Below are 17,751 nucleotides of genomic sequence, written 5' to 3' on the forward strand. Positions count from 1 at the left end.
TTGATGCGGGCTGGAGAAGGTCCTGCCCGGTGGGATTGCGCCCTGGGGCACCGCGCACGGGTCGGGGAAGCCCGGGGCAGGGCCGTATGCAAATAGCGCGCGAGGAGGCCGCGGATTGGCCAGCCCAGGCGGGGGCGGGGCGCGCCGAGGGCCCAGAGCTGGCAGGTGCCCTGGCAGGGACAGGTCTGGTGCCCGCGCCTGCTCGCTGGACCGCCCGCCCCGCGCTCTGGCGGCTCCTCCCGGGCGATGCCTCCGCTCTGGGCCCTGCTGGCCCTCGGCTGCCTGCGGTTCGGCTCGGGTAGGCGGTGAAGGGCAGGAGGGGGCTGAGCCCAGAAAGAGCGGGCAGCTCTGCCCTGGGGCGCCCGCCGCCTGGACCCTGATTCCTGGCGCTGGGGACCCAGATATTACTGTTATGAATAATAGTGATAGCCAACGTTTACGGGCCTCCTCTGTTGGGAATCCGAGGGCTCACAGATGGCTGCAGCCCTGCGATGTGTGTTGCAAGAGACCAACATGCAGGGGGGCTGCGGTAGGACAGAGAAGGGACTAGCCCCAGCCCCATGGTGACGCCTGGACGGGGGCAGATAGAGAGATATTTCGGCCGAGGAAGCAGCATGGGCAAGTTCATGGAGGGGAGACAATATTGGGCTGTCCTGGGAACTGCCAGTCCATGGGACCAGCTGGAGCCTGGGGTGAGGGGAGCCTGTGGGGGAAGGGGTGAGGCTGGAGACCGAACAAAGCAAAGCCCAGAACTTCAGGACCTCACTGCCTTTCCAGAGAGGCTGGACTTCGTCAGGGGGCGCTGGGGGACCATGGGAGGGCCATAGCCAGAGAATGAGGCAGTCAGACTTGCATGTGGGGGGAGGGCCCAGGTGAGGAAGGTGGGACGGAGGAGGGCTGGGCCGATGGCATGGAGAGATGCTTAGGAGGGGCAGTGGAGTTCTTGGCAACTGAGTGTCTGCAGCAGGGAGAGAAGGCAGCAGTTTGGCCCGACCGCTCCATTTCTGAGCAGGATGACTGGGCAGGGGGCAGTGTCTGAGACAGCTTATGCGGTGGCCCAGGGGGAGGGTGAAGCCCAGGGCCTGGCACACAACACGTGCTCAGTAACTGCAAGCAGAGTGGGTGTGGACAGTTCTGCCGGAGGTCAGTTCCCATCCTCACTGCCTCCTCCAGCTGTGAACCTGCAGCCCCAACTGGCCAGTGTGACTTTCGCCACCAACAACCCCACACTTACCACTGTGGCCTTGGAAAAGCCTCTCTGCATGTTTGACAGCAAAGAGGCCCTCACTGGCACCCACGAGGTCTACCTGTATGTCCTGGTCGACTCAGGTAAGGGTCCTGCTTCCCTCTGGCTACTCCAAAAGGGGCTCTGACCTGTCTGCAGGGAGGAGGGAAGGAGGCAGATAGAGGAACCCTCCATGCCTGTAGTCGTCTCATTAAACAGGTACTGCAGCCACAGACCTGTCCTTGCCTTGCAGGGACATCCAGTTAGTGAGGGAAGTAATAACACCACCAGTCACTGAACACCTACACCATACCAGGCACTTTGCACACCATAGAGCTAGTATCTACAACCAGCTTGTAAGGTAGCTATTACCAATCCCCATTACAGAGCAGGGAAGCAAGGCTCAGAGAGGTGGAATAACCCCCCCTGGACCTCCCAGGGCTGGAGAGTGAATCCTGATCTCTCTAGTCCCCAAGCCCAAGGTCCTTCCTGAGGCTTCGAAAGGTGGCTCAAGATTGGTGTTTCTGAGACAAAACCATGCATTTGGACCTGCTGCTGTGGCCCAGCCCCAACCCCTGCCCTGGAGGGGATCCTGAGCTTCTGAGACAAGCCAACATCAACTCTTGCATTTCTAGCAGCCAGTCATTTACAACAGCTCATTCGGGACCATCCTTTTCTTCTTTCAGCATGTGTTTATTGACTATAAACTAAAGTGCCTGATCTCCGGGCACTGTAGGGAATTTCTCTCCCATTTCATAGAAGACTAGGGTCTGAAGAGGTAGAGTGAGTTGTCCAAGGTCACCCATCTAGTAAGGAGGAGAGCTGGGTCCTGCCTCCACGTTATTTCCCTTGGACCGATGACCTTCCTTTCCCATTTTACACAAGAGAGAATCCAGGGCTTTCAGCAATGAAGAGACAAAGGTCTGTTGGGATGGGGGGTTGCAGGAATGTCACAAGATAAGGCGAGAGTCAGACACAGCGCCCAAAGCAGGGAGGTGATCCTTGTCCATCTCCCACATTGCACTGAGAGGGCAGAGACTAAGTTTGCCCCATGCCTGTGATGCCAGTGCCCAGCACAGAGCTGGGGCAGAAAGGATGATCAGGCATTTGATGAATAACTGAGTGAGTGTCGCTGAGCCGGAGTGGCCAGAAGCCTGACTCCCTGCACCGCCTCTGCAGCCATTTCCAGGAATGCCTCAGTGCAAGACAGCACCAACACCCCACTGGGCTCAACGTTCCTACAAACAGAGGGTGGGAGGACAGGTCCCTACAAAGCTGTGGCCTTTGACCTGATCCCCTGCAGTGACCTGCCCAGCCTGGATGCCATTGGGGATGTGTCCAAGGCCTCACAGATCCTGAATGCCTACCTGGTCAGGGTGGGTGCCAACGGGACCTGCCTGTGGGATCCCAACTTCCAGGGCCTCTGTAACGCACCCCTGTCGGCAGCCACGGAGTACAGGTGGGTGTAAACAAACCACTACAGGAGAGCCGCGGCAGTTCCCCAGTCCTGATGAGGGAGAGCAGGGGCAAAGTAGGAGCAGCCACACTTCTTGAGAACTTATATGCTGAGAACATCCCAGGTTCCAGGCAGGCCACGCTGAGCCTCAAGTTCAGAAGAGGCCCCTCTTGGATTGACGCTCTGCAACTACCGTCTTGAAATTCTGTATTTTATTTATTTATTTATTTTTTGAGACGGGGTCTCCACCATTTCCCAGGCTGGAGTACAGTGACACAATCTCAGCTCACTGCAACCTCCGCCTCCCAGGTTCAAGCGATTCTCTTGCCTCAGCCTCCCGAGTAGCTGAGATTACAGGTGCACACCACCATGCCCGGCTAATTTTTTGTGTTTTTAGTACAGATGGGGTTTCATCATGTTGGTCAAGCTGGTCTCGAACTCCTGACCTCCAGTGATCAGCCTGCTTTGGCCTCCTCCATAGTATTGGGTTACGGGCGTGAGCTGCCATGCCTGGCCCATCTTGAAATTCTTAATTGTTGAACAAGGGCCCACATTTTCATTTTGCTCTGGGGCCCACAGATTATGCAGCTGGTCCTGGCCCATCTACGTGTGTGGAAGTCACCCACCCAAACCCCTTCGTCTTACAGGAAAGGAAACTGTGCCAGAGAGGGAAGGTCACCCAGTGGAAAGCTGGGGCCCAGCATGAACAGAAACCCTACCAAAGCCTTGCCATCTGCAGCCTCAACTTCTGCTTTTTTTTTTTTGAGATGGAGTTTCGCTCTTGTTGCCCAAGGTGGAGTGCAGTGGTGCAATCTCGGCTCACCACAACCTCTGCCTCCCGGGTTCAAGCGATTCTCCTGCCTCAGCCTCCTGAGTAGCTGGGACTACAGGCGCCCCCACCACGCCTGGCTACTTTTGTTTTTGTATTTTTAGTAGAGACGGGGTTTCACTGTGTCAGCCAGAATGGTCTCGATCTCCTGACCTCATGATCCGCCCGCCTCAGCCTCCCAAAGTGCTGGGATTACAGGCGTCAGGCACTGCGCCCGGCCCATTTTTGTATTTTTAGTAGAGACAGGGTTTTGCCATGTTGGCCAGGCTGGTCTCGAGCCCCTGACCTCAGGTGATCTGCCCGCCTCAGCCTCCCAAACTGTTGGGATTACAGGCGTGAGCCACCATGCCCAGCTTCAGCCTTTTTCTTTTTCAGTTTTCTTTGTGATGCCAAGGAGCAGGCTTGGAGTCACGGAAGGCAGAAATGCAAGGAAGACAGATGCATTAGTGCTCAGCAACTATGCCACGTGTGTTACATGGAGGAAAGAAATGGAGGGGAGCTCTAAGAGGGAGCGCCTAGAAGGGCAGCTTCTGATTCTGAAGGCTTCATGGATGCAGGAGGTGGCAGCTGATCCAGGGAGGGGTCCTGGGGGGGGTCCTATTGGCCAAGCTCAGCACTGTCCTGTTGCCCAGAGCCCGCTCAGTAGCCGTCTACATTTCCGTCTCCTGGAAGGGCCCCCGCTGCCGTCTCCCACCCCTAGGCCATCCTACATCCCCCCACCGCCTCCCTGTGGGTGGGGCTCACAGGAAGCATAAAAGTCACCCTGGCTCCGTCTCCTTCCAGGTTCAAGTATGTCCTGGTCAATATGTCCACGGGCTTGGTAGAGGACCAGACCCTGTGGTCAGACCCCATCCGCACCAACCAGCGTAAGTGGTGGGCAGTGGTGGTGGTGATGCTCAAGGGGACCCGAGAAGGCGGGGCCAGCCACGGCGGTGAGAACCAAGGCTCCTCTGTCCCTGTGAAAGCCTCCCAGGCCAGGCAGTGATGAGTAAAATGCTCCTTAAAGCTGTTGAGCCAGGCCAGGTGTGGTGGCTCACATCTGTAATCCCAGCCTTTGGGAGGCTGAGGCAGGTGGATCACGAGGTCAGGAGATCGAGACCATCCTGGCTCACACGGTGAAACCCCGTCTCTCCTAAAAATACAAAAACAAAAGTAGCCAGGCGTGGTGGGGGTGCCTTTAGTCCCAGCTACTCGGGAGGCTAAGGCGGGAGAATAGCGTGAACCCGGGAGGTGGAGCTTGCAGTGAGCCAAGATGACACCACTGCATTCCAGCCTGGGCGACAGAGTGAGACTCCGTCTCAAAAAAAAAAAAAAAAGAAAAAAAAAATTAGCTGGGCGTGGTGGCACGTGCCTGTAATCCCAGCTACTTGGGAGGCTGAGGGAGGAGAATCGCTTGAACTGGGGAGTCAGAGGTTGCAGTGAGCCGAGATCACGCCACAGCACTCCAGCCTGGTGACAGAGTGAGACTCTGTCTCAAAAAAAAAAAAAAAGTCGTTGAACCTGGAACTTCCTCCTTCCTCCTTTCCATCCTTGAGGGCCAGGTGTGGGAACAGATCAAGGTGCAGGCCTTGGTGGCATTTGGGCTGGGGATGGGTGTAAGCGGATCAAAGCCGGCCCATTCCTCCGTCTCTCCAGCCCTTACAGTGGGTTGGCCTCAAAGGCACGCGGAGCTGACCCGGCATTTACGTCCTAACCAGCCCCTTTGCTAAATCCTCATAGCAGCAAGCACCCTATGGCCAGGTAAGATGTTTCCAAGGCCTAAAACCAAGATGGCAAAGGCAGCAAGGAACCGCTCTCCTTCCCTGCACACCTACTCCTTAGCACCTGGGCGGCTTTCCTGAGGTGGAACGCCAGGGTGCTGCGCTGTTCCTTGCTCAGCAGAGACCCAAAGTTCATATACAGAGTCGAGTCTGCTGAATGACAGGGGCCACGCCAGGGTCTTTGATGGTAATTTTGGGCAAATGATATCCTAACTTAAGACCTCCTCCCGCCACACCTTGGCCCCCAAGACGAGGCTGTCTGGCAGGATGAGTGTCAGGGTCCTGTGCATTTCACCTGCAGAGCCTCCTGTTGAGCCCATGTGCACCCCCAGGGGCGTGGGGGGCTCTGAAAGGTTGCCTGAAGTCACACGCGAGTGGGTGGTAGAAAGCCTTGTGTGTGAGTATGTGAGTGCCCGTGCCTGTTGTGGTATGTCTATGTGTGTGTGTTTGTGTTGCGTGTGGCGTGTGGTAACTGTATAATGTAGTTTACGGTGTTGCGTATGTGTGTGAGTGGTGTGTGAGTGTGAGAATGTGTGTGGTATGTGGTGTGTGGAGAGTATGTGAGGAGTGTGGTGTGGATGAGTGTGACAGTGTGTGGTGTATATCAGGGGTCCCCAACCCCTGGGCCATGGACCAGTACCAGTCCATGGCCTGTTAGGAACGGGACCGCGCAGCAGGAGGTGAGCAGTGGGCGAGTGAAACTTCATCTGCATTTGCAGCCGCTCCCTGTAGCTCGCATTACTGCCTGAGCTCCGCCTCCTGTCAGATCAGCAGTGGCATTAGAGTGTCACGGGAGCGCGAACCCTGTTGTGAACTGCGCATGCCAGGGATTAGGTTGCATGCTCCTCACGAGAATCTCATGCCCGATGATGTGTCACTGTCTCCCATCACCCCAGATGGGACCGTCTACTTGCAGGAAAACAAGCTCAGGGCTCCCACTGATTCTACATGATGATGAGTTGTACAATCATTTTATTATATATGGCAAAGTAATAATATAGAAATAAGGTGCACAATAACTGCATATAAGGTGCTTGAATCATCCCGAAACCACCCCCAGCCCACTCCCGTCTGCAGAAAACCTGTCTTCCACAAAACCGATCCCTGGTGCCAAAAAGGCTGGGGACTGCTGGTATATGTGGTGTGTGGTGGGGTTGTGTGTGTGAATATGAGGGTGTGTGTGGTTAGTGTGAGAGTATGTGTGGTGTGTGAGTGTGAGAGTGTGTGTGGTGTGGGTGGTGTATGTGGTGTGTGGTGGGGGTGTGTGTGAATGAGGGTGTGTGTGGTGTGTGTGGTTAGCGTGAGAGTATGTCTGGTGTGTGTGAGAGTGGTGTGGGTGGTGTATGTGTGTGTGGTGTGTGGGTGGTGTGAGAGTGTGTATTGTATGTGTGTGGTGTGTGTGGTGTGAGAGTGTGGCAGGTGTGTGTGTGAGTTTGAGTTGTGTGATGTGTGTGGTGTGTGAGTGTGAGAGTGTGTGTGTGAGTTGGAATGTGTGTTGTGTGGTGTGTTAGAGTGTGGCAGTGTGTGTGCGTGTGTAAGAGTTTGAGTTGGTGTGTGGTGTCTGAGTGTGACTGTGTGTGTGTGGGAGTTGGTATGTGTAGTGTGTGGTGTGTGAGAGTGTGGCAGTGTGTGTGAGTTGGTATGTGTGGTGTCTGGTGTGTGAGAGTGGCAGTGTGTGTGAGTTGGTATGCGTGGTGTGTGTAACTGTGTGTGTGTGAGTTGGTATGCGTGGTGTGTGGTGTGTGAGAGTGTGGCAATGTGTGTGTGTGTAAGAGTTTGAGTTGGTGTGTGGTGTCTGAGTGTGACTGTGTATGTGAGTTGGTATGTGTGGTGTGTGAGAGTGTGGCAGGGCGTGTGAGTTGGTATGTGTGGTGTGTGGTGTGTGAGAGTGTGGCAGTGTGTGTCAGTTGGTATGTGTGGTGTGTGGTGTGTGAGAATGGCAGTGTGTGTGGCTGGGGTGGCTCCTCCCATCCTCACTCCCTACCGCCCCTCCCGTGGCATTCCCACGCAGTGTGGTTTCACCGAAACAGCCTTGGAACCCTTGGGACTAAGAGTCCTGAGCCCAAGCCCCGCCTCTGCCCCTCACTGCGGTGTGAGCCGTTATGGACCTCGGTTTCCTCATCTGAGAAGAGGGAAGAAGAATTCTTGATGGGCCTCTGCAGCAGGGTTCCTTTGGGGAACCCAGGCAGAAGCACAAGGCCCAGTTTTTTTGGGGGAGGACCGTGGGGCCCATCTGGGGGACAGCATGCACCTCAGGACCAGGCTGGCCCAGCTTGAGCCTGGATTCTGCATGTCCTTGGCTGGGGACTCAGGCTCCCTGAGCGCAGTGAGTGATCTGCAGAATGGGGTCTCCAGGGGACCTACCTGGAACAGTAGCTGCAAGTGGCTGGCTGCAGTAGGACCTATACATCATCTGTTCACAGCGTTCCAAAGGGTGAGGCCATCCCCAGAAGAGTGACAGCCACCGTCCACCTGGCCCCGTCAGACCAGGGCCCTTTGCCTCATCTTTACTTGTAATCCATATCTCAGCCATCTCACCAGAAGACTTGAGTCAGTTTATGATTTAAAATTATGCAAAGCCGGGGCACTCTGGTGGTGGCTCACACCTATAATCCCAACACATTGGGAGGCTGAGGTGGGAGGATTGCTTGAGCCCAAGAGCTCAAGACCAGACTGGGCAACATGGTGAAACCCCATCTCTACAAAAAAAAGTACAACAAATTAGCTGGGCATGGTGGCGTGCACCTGTAGTCCCGGCTGCTTGGGAGGCTGGGGTGGGAGGATGGCTTGAGCCTGGGAGTTTGAGGCTGCAGTGAGCCAGGATGGCGCCACTGCACTCATGGCTGGGTGACAGAGCAAGACTCTGTCTCAAAAACAATAACGTAAAATAATGCAAAAAAAAAAAAAGAGAAGAAAGAGTTAAAAGAGGAAGTGGCCAGAAACACACAAAAGAAAGTTGGAAAGTGGAATGTGGGGGAAAATAAGGTAATTGTGCCTAAAACCTGAGAGAAGTCGCCCCACTGGGTCCCAGGGTCATCCCTGGATCCCCGGCAGCCAGGGCGGGGGAGACACCCGCCGCCTCCTGGGAGAAGGGTGAGGGTGGTGCGGTGTCTGGGAAGTAACCGGGCTGCATCCCACCACAGTCACCCCATACTCGACGATCGACACGTGGCCAGGCCGGCGGAGCGGAGGCATGATCGTCATCACTTCCATCCTGGGCTCCCTGCCCTTCTTTCTACTTGTGGGTTTTGCTGGCGCCATTGCCCTCAGCCTCGTGTAAGTACCTGCCTGCTGGGAGGGCTGGACCCCAGGGACATGCCAGACACATTTGGCTCACAGGGACTCAGCAGTGGGGTCCTCCGAGGCAGGGGACAGCCCGGAAGGCAAGGAAGCTACCCTCTGCCCCGCGGGTGGGGTCTGGTGAAGAGGGAGCAGAGTCCTGGGATTTCAAAGCGGGAGGATCATCAAAGTCAAGTTGCTCAGCTGGGAAGGGTGGGACTCAGCACCTGGGCTTGTGGGCAGACAGCCGATTCAGATCTTAGCTCTGACACTGAAGAGTTATGCAACCTTAGGTATGGCTTGCTATCCTTCTGTTCTTCAGTTTCCCCATCTGGAAAATGGAAATAATAAATATTAGTCATCTCACGGAGTTGTGAAGGTTAAGTGGAATAATCTCTATAGAGTCTCTAGAGCAGTGCCTGGGAACTCAACAAGCATTTGCTTTCGTTGTCATTATAATACACCTACTTGCAGTACAGAGGGGGAAACTGAGGCCCAGAGGGGGTCAGAGTGGCCCAAGGCGACACAACCTGGGACCAGAACCCAGAGTTGGGGGCCTAGAACCTGGGACTCGGGACTCCACTGACACCTCTGATTTGTGTCGCCTTTGGATGAGGACTTGAGGTCTCCCGAGGGGTGTACCAGGTTTAGCAGGGCTGTGGGTGGGAAAGACAGGTGAACCCACAGTCCACTAGCCCCTGGGAAGACCAGGCAGGGGACAAACCAAGGTGCCGTGGGAATCCAGAGGAGGGCCGGGGGGGTGCTGCCTGGAGCATCAGGGTGGCCTTCCTGGAGGAAGGGTCAGTGTGAGCAAACTCTCATCAGCAGAGTGTTCCTCAGTGAGAGGCAGGGAGGCAGGGAGGCCCAGGGGACTTTGAAGACTGAGAGAGGTCCCAGTGTGGGTAAGGGTGGAGCAGATAGGAAAGTTTCTTGGAGTAGGTATAGTTAAGTGGATCCATGGAAAGCAGCCAGGCAGGAAAAGATAGGTGGGGCGGGTGGAGATCGAGTGAGGAAGGAGGCTGAGAACTTGTGAATCAGGTTGGTGGGCTGTGGGCTCACCTGTCTTCCGCACCCCCATCCCTGCTAACCCTGGTACACCCCCCCCGGGAGACCTCGAGTCCTCATCCAAAGCTGACACAAATCAGAGGTGTCAGTGGAGTCCCGAGTCCCGGGTTGTAGGCCCCCAACTCTGGGTTCTGGTCCCAGGCTGTGTCACCTTTACCATTTAATGACAAATGACTCTGACATTTAAGTGAACAAAAACAAAATAGATGATATCAGCCTCCCAGAAACTCTGCCTGGCTGCACCCGGGAGCAGTCAGAACACAGCAATGTCCCTCCTTCCTTTTGGACAGTGCCCTAATCTGGCACTGAAGACCCTGCTATCTGAAATTAGCCCCAGTTTTTCCATGTATCCCTCTTGCTATCCCCACTTTGTTCCGGCTCCAGCTGCACTAAACTGCGATCTGTACCATCGCTCCAGATACTCCTCAGCCCTTCCTGCCTCACACCCACCATGTGCTGACTGACCCCACACTTGGATGCCTTTCTCTTCCCCTACGCTCCTTTTTTTTTTTTTTTTTGAGACGGAGTTTTGCTCTTGTTGCCCAGCCATCTCGGCTCACTGCAACCTCCGCCTCCCAGGTTCAAGCGATACTCCTGCCTCAGCCTCCTGAGTAGCTGGGATTACAGGCGACCATCACCATGCCCAGCTAATTTTTTTGTATTTTTAGTAGAGACAAGATTTCACCATGTTGGCCAGGCTGGTCTCGAACTCCTCACCTCAGGTGATCCACCTGCCTTGGCCTCCCAAAGTGCTGGGATTACAGATGTGAGCCACTGCACCCAGCCCACACACCTTCTTTAGGGCCACGTGAGCTGCCGCCTCCTCCAGGAAGCCTTCCTGCAGCTCCCACCTGCGCTTGTCCATGCTGCGTGGTCATTGTTGCAGTCAGTCTGCCCCTGCAACCTTAGCTCTTTGGGAACATGGGACAATGGCCTCAAATTGTCCAGCTCCCAATAAGACCTATAAGTTGTTCACATCATTCCAAAAGGTGGACCTCTTCCTTATTCCCAGGGCCTGGCACAGGGTCAGTGCTCCAGAAAGATGGATTGATTGAATTCATGTCTACGAAGACGATATCTGTGAAAGCTATGTCTGAGTATGAAGGTCCCCAAGCAGCTAAAGGCATTTGGGTTTGCTCTGGTCCCCTAATCCTGGGTCTTTCCATCCCCTTGGACAGGGACATGGGGAGTTCTGATGGGGAAACGACTCACGACTCCCAAATCACTCAGGAGGCTGTTCCCAAGTCGCTGGGGGCCTCGGAGTCTTCCTACACGTCCGTGAACCGGGGGCCGCCACTGGACAGGGCTGAGGTGTATTCCAGCAAGCTCCAAGACTGAGCCCAGCACCACCCCTGGGCAGCAGCATCCTCCTCTCTGGCCTTGCCCCAGGCCCTGCAGCGGTGGTTGTCACACCCTGACTTCAGGGAAGGTGAAACAGGGCTTGTCCCTCCAACTGCAGGAAAACCCTTAATAAAATCTTCTGATGAGTTCTAGTTCAGTAACTACTTACAGAATGAATGAGTGAGAAGGTGAATGAATGAATCAATGCCAAACTGAGGGCTTGAATTGTTTCTCTACAGGGTAGGTGGGAGCAGGGGGGCTAATTTTCAGTCAAGGCTACGGCATGTGAATTGCCAGGCAGTGGCACATGCCTGTAGTGCCAGGGACTCAGGAGGCCGAAGTGAGAGGGTCGCTTGAGGCCAGGAAGGCAGGGCTGCAATGAGCTATGATCGTGCCATTGCACTCCAGCCTGGGCAACACAGCAAGATACTGTCTCAAAAAACAAACAGGCTGGGCGCGGTGGCTCATGCCTGTAATCCCAGCACTTTGGGAGCCTGAGGTGGGCAGATCACCTGAGATCAGGAGTATAAGACCAGCCTGACCAACATGGTGAAACCCTGTCTCTACTAAAAATACAAAATTAGCCGGGCGTGGTGGCGCATGCCTGTAATCCCAGCTACTTGGGAAGCTGAGGCAGGAGAATGTCTTGAACCCGGGAGGCAGAGTTTGCAGTGAGCTGAGATCGTGCCATTGCCCTCCAGCCTGGGTGACAAGAACAAAACTCTGCCTCAAAAAACAAACAAACAAACAAACAAACAAAAAACAAGTTGGTTGACCCTCCCTTACCCTCTAAGCCCCTAGTCTCGGTCTTCTCATCTGTAACATGGGCTGGTGGAAATGGTGAATTTCTGAGGCCATGCATACCTGGCTAGCAAAAGAGAAGAGCTGCCCAGCCCCCCTGCTCCAGGCCTCAGTACACTCCCACTCCAGCAGGAAGACCAGAGGATGGTGAATGAGGCACAGCGACAGAAGCTATCACTTCCGGGCTGAGGCTGCCGGATGCCTGGGAGGGGGCATCAGGTCAGCCTGGGGGGTGAAGGGGCTGTCCCAGTCTAGGGTCTCCATTCAAAAGCTTCAACTCTCTCTTCTGAGCCAGGCAGAAAGACTGCTTCCCCATTGGGCGTGCAAGACAAAATCACAGTCCGTCTTCCTGTTGCTGAAGGAAGATGTGGTTTGTCAGAGCAGGGTTGGTTACAGAGTGGATGCTACCCAAGCGCTACAAATACAACAGCCCAGGCAGGCTGGCGGGTGCCCCAGGTGGACCAGATACTTACCCCAGGGCCACTGTTAAGCAATGAATGTTTGTGTCCCTCGACATTCATGGGTTGAAATCCTAACACTGGCTGTGATGGCATCTGGAGGTGGGACTTTTGGAAGGAGATGAGGCATGAGGGTGGAGCCCTCTTTCCACTTGTGAGGATACAGTGAGAAGGCTGCAGCGTGTGACACAGAAGGCGGCCCTCATCAGAACCCCACCACGCGGGCACCCCGATCCTAGGTGTCCAGCTTCCAGACCTGTGAGAGAGAAATTTCTGTTGTTTACAAACCACCCAGTCTGCAGTGTTTTTTTTTTTGAGATGGAGTCTCGCTCTGTCGATGAGGCTGGAGTGCAATGGCACAATCTTGGCTCACAGCAACCTCCACCTCCAGGGTTCAAGTGATTCTCCTGCCTCAGCCTCCCGAGTAGCTGGTACTACAGGCGTGCGCCACCATGCCTGGCTAATTTTTTGTATTTTTAGTAGAGATGGGGTTTCACCGTGTTAGCCAGGCTGGTCTCGATCTCCTGACCTCGTGATCCACCCGCCTCACCCTCCCAAAGTGCTGGGATTACAGGCATGAGCCACCGCACCCGGCCTCCCCAGAGAGTATTAATTCCTCCCGCTTCTGTCCCCAAAGAGACTGTTGGGAGAGGCTGCCGAGGCAGTAAAGTGCAGTCACTCTGAAGTCAGAGGGGTCTGACTTAACCTTTCAGCCAGGTGACCTTTCAGCAAGTGCTTCTGGAGGAGCTACCCCACCTCCTGCAGCCTCCATTTCCTCATTGGTAAATGGGTGCCGCACACGGTGGGGGTGAGGGTGAAGTGGAACAGTGCGTGTCCACTGGTATCCCTGCTCCCCGCTACATTACAGCCCCCATGTTCCAGCTGGTGAGTGTCTCTGCAGCGTCTAGACTGAGCTACTGGAGGGCCGGTAAAGGTTGGATCCATTTTTGTGACCCCCACCCCACGCAGCACACAGCAAGGAGGGGAAGGAGTTTGGTCATCATAATAATCACTCACGTCGTTATTTATTGGACACGTGTTTTGTGCTCCGTGTTCATGGGAGGAATGAGGCATCCACTTTAAGGAGCTATATATATATATTTATTTATTTACTTATTTATTTTTTTGAGACAGTGCCTCGCTCTTGTCACCCAGGCTGGAGTGCAGTGGTGCCATCTCAGCTCACTGCAACCTCCGCCTCCCAGGTTCAAGTGATTCTCCTCCCTCAGCCTCCCAAATAGCTGGGATTACAGGCGCCCGCCACCACGCCTGGCTACTTTTTGTATTTTTAGTAGAGACGAGGTTTCATCATGTTGACCAGGCTGGTCTCGAACTCCTGACCTCAGGTGATCTGCCCTCCTCAGCCTCCCAAAGTGCGGGGATTACAGGCCTGAGCCACAGCACCCGGCCAGGAGCAATATTTTGCCAATGTTGGAATATTCAAGGCCAGCAAGAGGAGAGGTGGCCAAGGGTGGGAGAGGCTTGAGGCCACCATGGGGAGGCTGGATTTTATTCCGGGGCTAATGGGAAGCTCTGAACAGTTTCGCACAGAGAACGGTCTTCGTGAAGCCCACTTCACAGCTGTGCACAGGATGGATTTGGGGGCAGGAAGCCGAGGGGTGGCAGTGTAACTCTGATGGGGACACGGAAGAACTTGCTGATGAACTGGCTGTGGGGGAGGAGGGAGAAACGGGATCTGGCATGACCTCTGGGTTGGGGACCAGGGCCACTGAACACACGGTGGTGCCCTCAACCAGAATGGGGACACGAAGTTTCAGCTAGAGGCAATCCAGAATGCGGGGTGGGCTCAACGCGAGCTGCATGGCATGCATCAGTAGGGCTGAGTAGCAGGCTACGGGGTATCCAGGTCTGGCGCCCCGGGGGAGGAAGGGGCTGCAGATATCCGTGTTGGAGTTGTCAGAGTTATCAGAGGGGTTAGAGCAAATGGTTGCTCCCAGATACTCGCTGCCTGGATTGGAAAGGATTATACTCCCTCCCGCCCCTCATTGTCAGGTCTGGCCGTGGGACAGGCAGGGGCCACTCTGAGCAGAGGTTTGAAGAGCCTTTGGATGGTTCCGCTGTTGCTCAGCCTCTGCCGGGAGAACAGCATAGCCCAAGCGGGACTGCTATGTGTGCCTGGGCCCTGAATGAGGAAGACGCATGGAGCCGAGTCACAGCCTGCTCACAGCCAACAGGGATCCCAGACAGGAAATTCACCTTTGTATTGTAAACCACTGAGACATTAGGGGTGGTTGTCACTCACTGTAGGGGAACCGCTCGGAGCAGAGCCGATGTCCCTCAGTCCTTGCCCGTATCCACAGAGGCCACAGAGGCCCAGCTTCCCCGCTGCTGGTCTAAGCCTTGGCAGAACTCCCCGTGGTCCTCCCAGAACATGAGAGCATGGGAGGTTTGTGAGTTGCTGCCACATGGCCCTGTCCCCACCTCCCATCTTCCTGGGGGCCTTTATGAGAGTTTCTCATGGCCCTCAGCTCTGATGAGGTTTGAGGCTCCTTCCTCGTCCTCCTCAGGGTACAGCTGCAGCTCAGCAACGGGGTGCCTCCTGCTCACGCTGTCCTTATTGGGCCCCTCTTATTTCAGTGTCATCCTGTGGGATGAGGATGCAGGGAGCAGGGGGCAGGCATCTCTGATCTTTTGCTGTCTGAGTCTCATGAGGACTCTGTTTTTGCTTTTTTTTTTTGGCCAGCTGAATCCATTAGCCTTACTTTGTCAGTCATATTAAAGCAAAAAGAACCTATGGCAAGCTTTCTGATACGCCAAGCAATGAATGATAGTATTTGAAGCTCCAGGACTGCTGAGATCACGAAAGGCTAAGGACCAGAGAGGCAGCCAAGGTGAGGGACAGAGCTGCGGTAGTATTTGGGTGGGGACGGAGGGATACCACGGAGGCCAGGAGAGAACTGATGGGAAAGCCGGACCCTGCTCTGTCTCCTGACAGCCCTGTTACTGAGAAAGCAATGGTGCTACTCTACCGGCCACTCCACCCGCACTTTTTTTTTTTTTTTTTTTTTGAGACAGAGTCTCGCTCTGTTGCCCAGGCTGCAGTGCAGTGGTGTGATCTCAGCTCACTGCAACCTCTGCCTCCCGGGTTCAAGTGATTCTCCTGCTTCAGCCTTCCGAGTAGCTGGGACTATAGGCACCCACCATCATGCCCAGGCTAATTTTTGTATTTTTAGTGGAGACGGGGTTTCACCATGTTGGCCAGGCTGGCCTTGAACTGCTGACCTTGGGTAATCCGCCTGCCTCGGCCTCCCAAAGTGCTGGGATTACAGGTGTGAGCCACCACACCTGGCCCTCCACCCCCACTTCTGCAAACAAAACAGCTCCTCCTCTTTGGATGGGTCCTTGCAGAATGTGGATCCCAGGCCCCTCCTAGGCAGCACCAGGGCAGAGGCAGTAAGTTTGGATTCTGAGGGGTAGGACAAGTCCTTGCCAGCTTCCAGTCAGCTCTCCCCAATCCCCCTGAGCTGAATAGCCCAAGCTGGTGGTGGGGGTGAGCGGGAGTTGCTGCGCTTGGCTCCTGAGCTCTGGGCTGGACTCAGGCTTCATAGAAACTGCTAATTATAAATCCATGCAGAAGCAGTTTTATTAGCTTGCTTCTCCAAGTCTGTAGGACTCATCTGCCATGGCCAGGATGGCAGGGACTTCACAGCTGAGCTTCCTACTTCTACACAGAGGCGGCTTCACCTTCCTCCCACTCCAGCCATGGTTCATGGGTTAGCTACTCACCCTAGGTGAGCTGTGTGATCTGGGGCAAGGAGGTAACCTCTCTGGGCTCCCCTGACCTCACCTGTGCAAAAAGGGTCAGATGCTTGGGAAGGCTGCTCCCAAATGGGTAATTTCTTCTGAGTTCAGGCCAATCACAAGGGATGCCATTCAGTTTGATCCAATGGAGCCCGGAGCCCGGAGCCCGGATCCCCAGGCTTAGGAAACCTGGGAGCCACCCATCCGGTCAGAAGAATGGAAATCCCCGAGGAATTGTCAGAGCAGAATCTTGGACAGAATTGGCACCCTAAATAAAAGGGCATATGTTCCTCGTCACCCTCTATCAACTCACCCAGCTTGATTTTCCCACTTTATTGGGGCAGCACTGATGTATAATAAGATGCACCTATTTAGAACATATCTGATGAGTCTTTTTGTTTGTTTGGTTTGTTTTGTTTTGTTTTGAGAGGGAGTCTCTCTCTGTCGCCCAGGCTGGAGTGCGGTGGCGCAATCTCAGCTCGCTGCAACCTCCGCCTACCGGGTTCAAGTGATTCTCCTGCCTCAGCGTCCTGAGTAGCTGGGACTAGAGGCACCTGCCACCATGACTGGCTAATTTTTGTATTTTTAGTAGAGATGGGGTTTCACCATATTGGCCAGGCCGGTCTTGAAGTCCTGACCTTGTGATCCGCCCACCTCGGCCTCCCAGAGTGCTGGGATTACAGGCGTGAGCCACTGCGCCTGGCCCGGCCACTGTGTATACACTTTAACAAATGTATACACCTGTGAAAGCTCCACTGCAATGGTGATAACATCCATCTCGTCAAAAACTTCCTTGGGCTTCTTGGTAATCCCTCCATCCCACCCCTGCCCACCCTGTACTGCAGTGATCTTTTTTTTTTTTTTTTTTTTTTTTAGACAGTCTCACTGTGTTGCCCAGGCTGGAGTGCAATGGCACAATCTTGGTTCACTGCAACCTCCGCCTCCCAGGTTCAAGTGATTCTCCTGCCTCAGCCTCCCGAGTACCTGGGATTATAGGCTTGAACCACCATACCAGGCTATTTTTTGTATTTTTAGTAGAGACGGGGTTTCGTCACGTTGACCAGGCTGGTCTCAAACTCCTGACCTCAAGTGATATGCCCGCCTCGGCCTCCCAAAGTGCTGGGATTACAGGCGTGAGCCACCGCACCCAGCCTGAGCTTCTTTCCATCACTAAAGATTAGTTTGCAGTTTCCATAATTTTTATATAAATGGAACCACATGGTATGTTCTCTTTTGTGTCTGGCTTCTTTCACTCAGCATAACAATTTTGAGATTCACCATCCTGCTGCGTGTATCAACACTTTGCTCCTTTTCCTTGCTGAGAAGTACCCCACTGTGTGGATATTCTATAATGTGTGGATCCATCATTGACCTGTTTTGTTTCCAGTGTGGGGCTATCACACATAAAGCCGCTGTGAGCACTCATGTGCAAGTCTCTTTGTGGACATCTGCTTTCACTTCTCTTGGGTAAATACTGGAGAGTGGAATGGCTGAGTCATATCATGGGGCTATGATGAAAAAAAATTTTTTTTTTGAGACAGTCTCAGGCTAGAACGCGACCTTGGCTCATTGCAACCTCTGCCTCCCAGGTTCAAGCGGTTCTCGTGCCTCAGCCTCCCAAGTAGGAGGGACTACAGGTGTGCCCCACCACGCCCAGCTAATTTTTTGTATTTTTAGTAGAGACGTGGTTTCGCCATGTTGGCCAGGCTGGTCTCAAACTCCTGGCCTCAGATAATCTGCCCACCCCCACCTCAGCCTCTTTTTTTTTTTTTGGA

At 54.4% G+C, this 17,751-nt stretch overlaps 1 protein-coding gene across 2 annotated transcripts, besides 3 other annotated features; it reads left to right on the plus strand.

The window, feature by feature from the left end:
* Window positions 3-312: a silencer, noted in NCBI's record as "silent region_13880". NCBI's record gives its function as "represses an Ori minimal core promoter by ATAC-STARR-seq in GM12878 lymphoblastoid cells {active_cell/tissue: GM12878}" and the evidence as "EXISTENCE:reporter gene assay evidence [ECO:0000049][PMID:35858748]".
* On the plus strand, window positions 182-11,107 carry UPK3A (uroplakin 3A). Of its 2 annotated transcripts, NM_006953.4 has the most exons (6): window positions 182-298; window positions 1,174-1,329; window positions 2,405-2,684; window positions 4,294-4,376; window positions 8,414-8,546; window positions 10,793-11,107. In NM_006953.4, exons 1-6 carry the CDS (start codon window positions 247-249, stop codon window positions 10,950-10,952), a joined length of 864 nt encoding a protein of 287 aa, NP_008884.1. In that variant the 5' UTR covers window positions 182-246; the 3' UTR covers window positions 10,953-11,107. The 2 variants fall into 2 exon arrangements, with proteins under 2 accessions (NP_008884.1, NP_001161046.1); NM_001167574.2 differs by lacking the exons at window positions 2,405-2,684; window positions 4,294-4,376.
* Window positions 5,592-6,125: an enhancer, noted in NCBI's record as "H3K4me1 hESC enhancer chr22:45686240-45686773 (GRCh37/hg19 assembly coordinates)". NCBI's record gives its function as "activates a minimal SCP1, AML or CMV promoter by ChIP-STARR-seq in naive H9 embryonic stem cells {active_cell/tissue: H9 hESC(naive)}" and the evidence as "EXISTENCE:reporter gene assay evidence [ECO:0000049][PMID:30033119]".
* Window positions 17,321-17,615: an enhancer, noted in NCBI's record as "tiled region #10691; HepG2 Activating DNase matched - State 6:EnhF". NCBI's record gives its function as "activates a minimal TATA promoter and a strong SV40 promoter by Sharpr-MPRA in HepG2 cells {active_cell/tissue: HepG2}" and the evidence as "EXISTENCE:reporter gene assay evidence [ECO:0000049][PMID:27701403]".

Source organism: Homo sapiens, chromosome 22 (genome assembly GCF_000001405.40).
Source record: "Homo sapiens chromosome 22, GRCh38.p14 Primary Assembly".
Taxonomy (NCBI): Eukaryota; Metazoa; Chordata; class Mammalia; order Primates; family Hominidae; genus Homo; species Homo sapiens.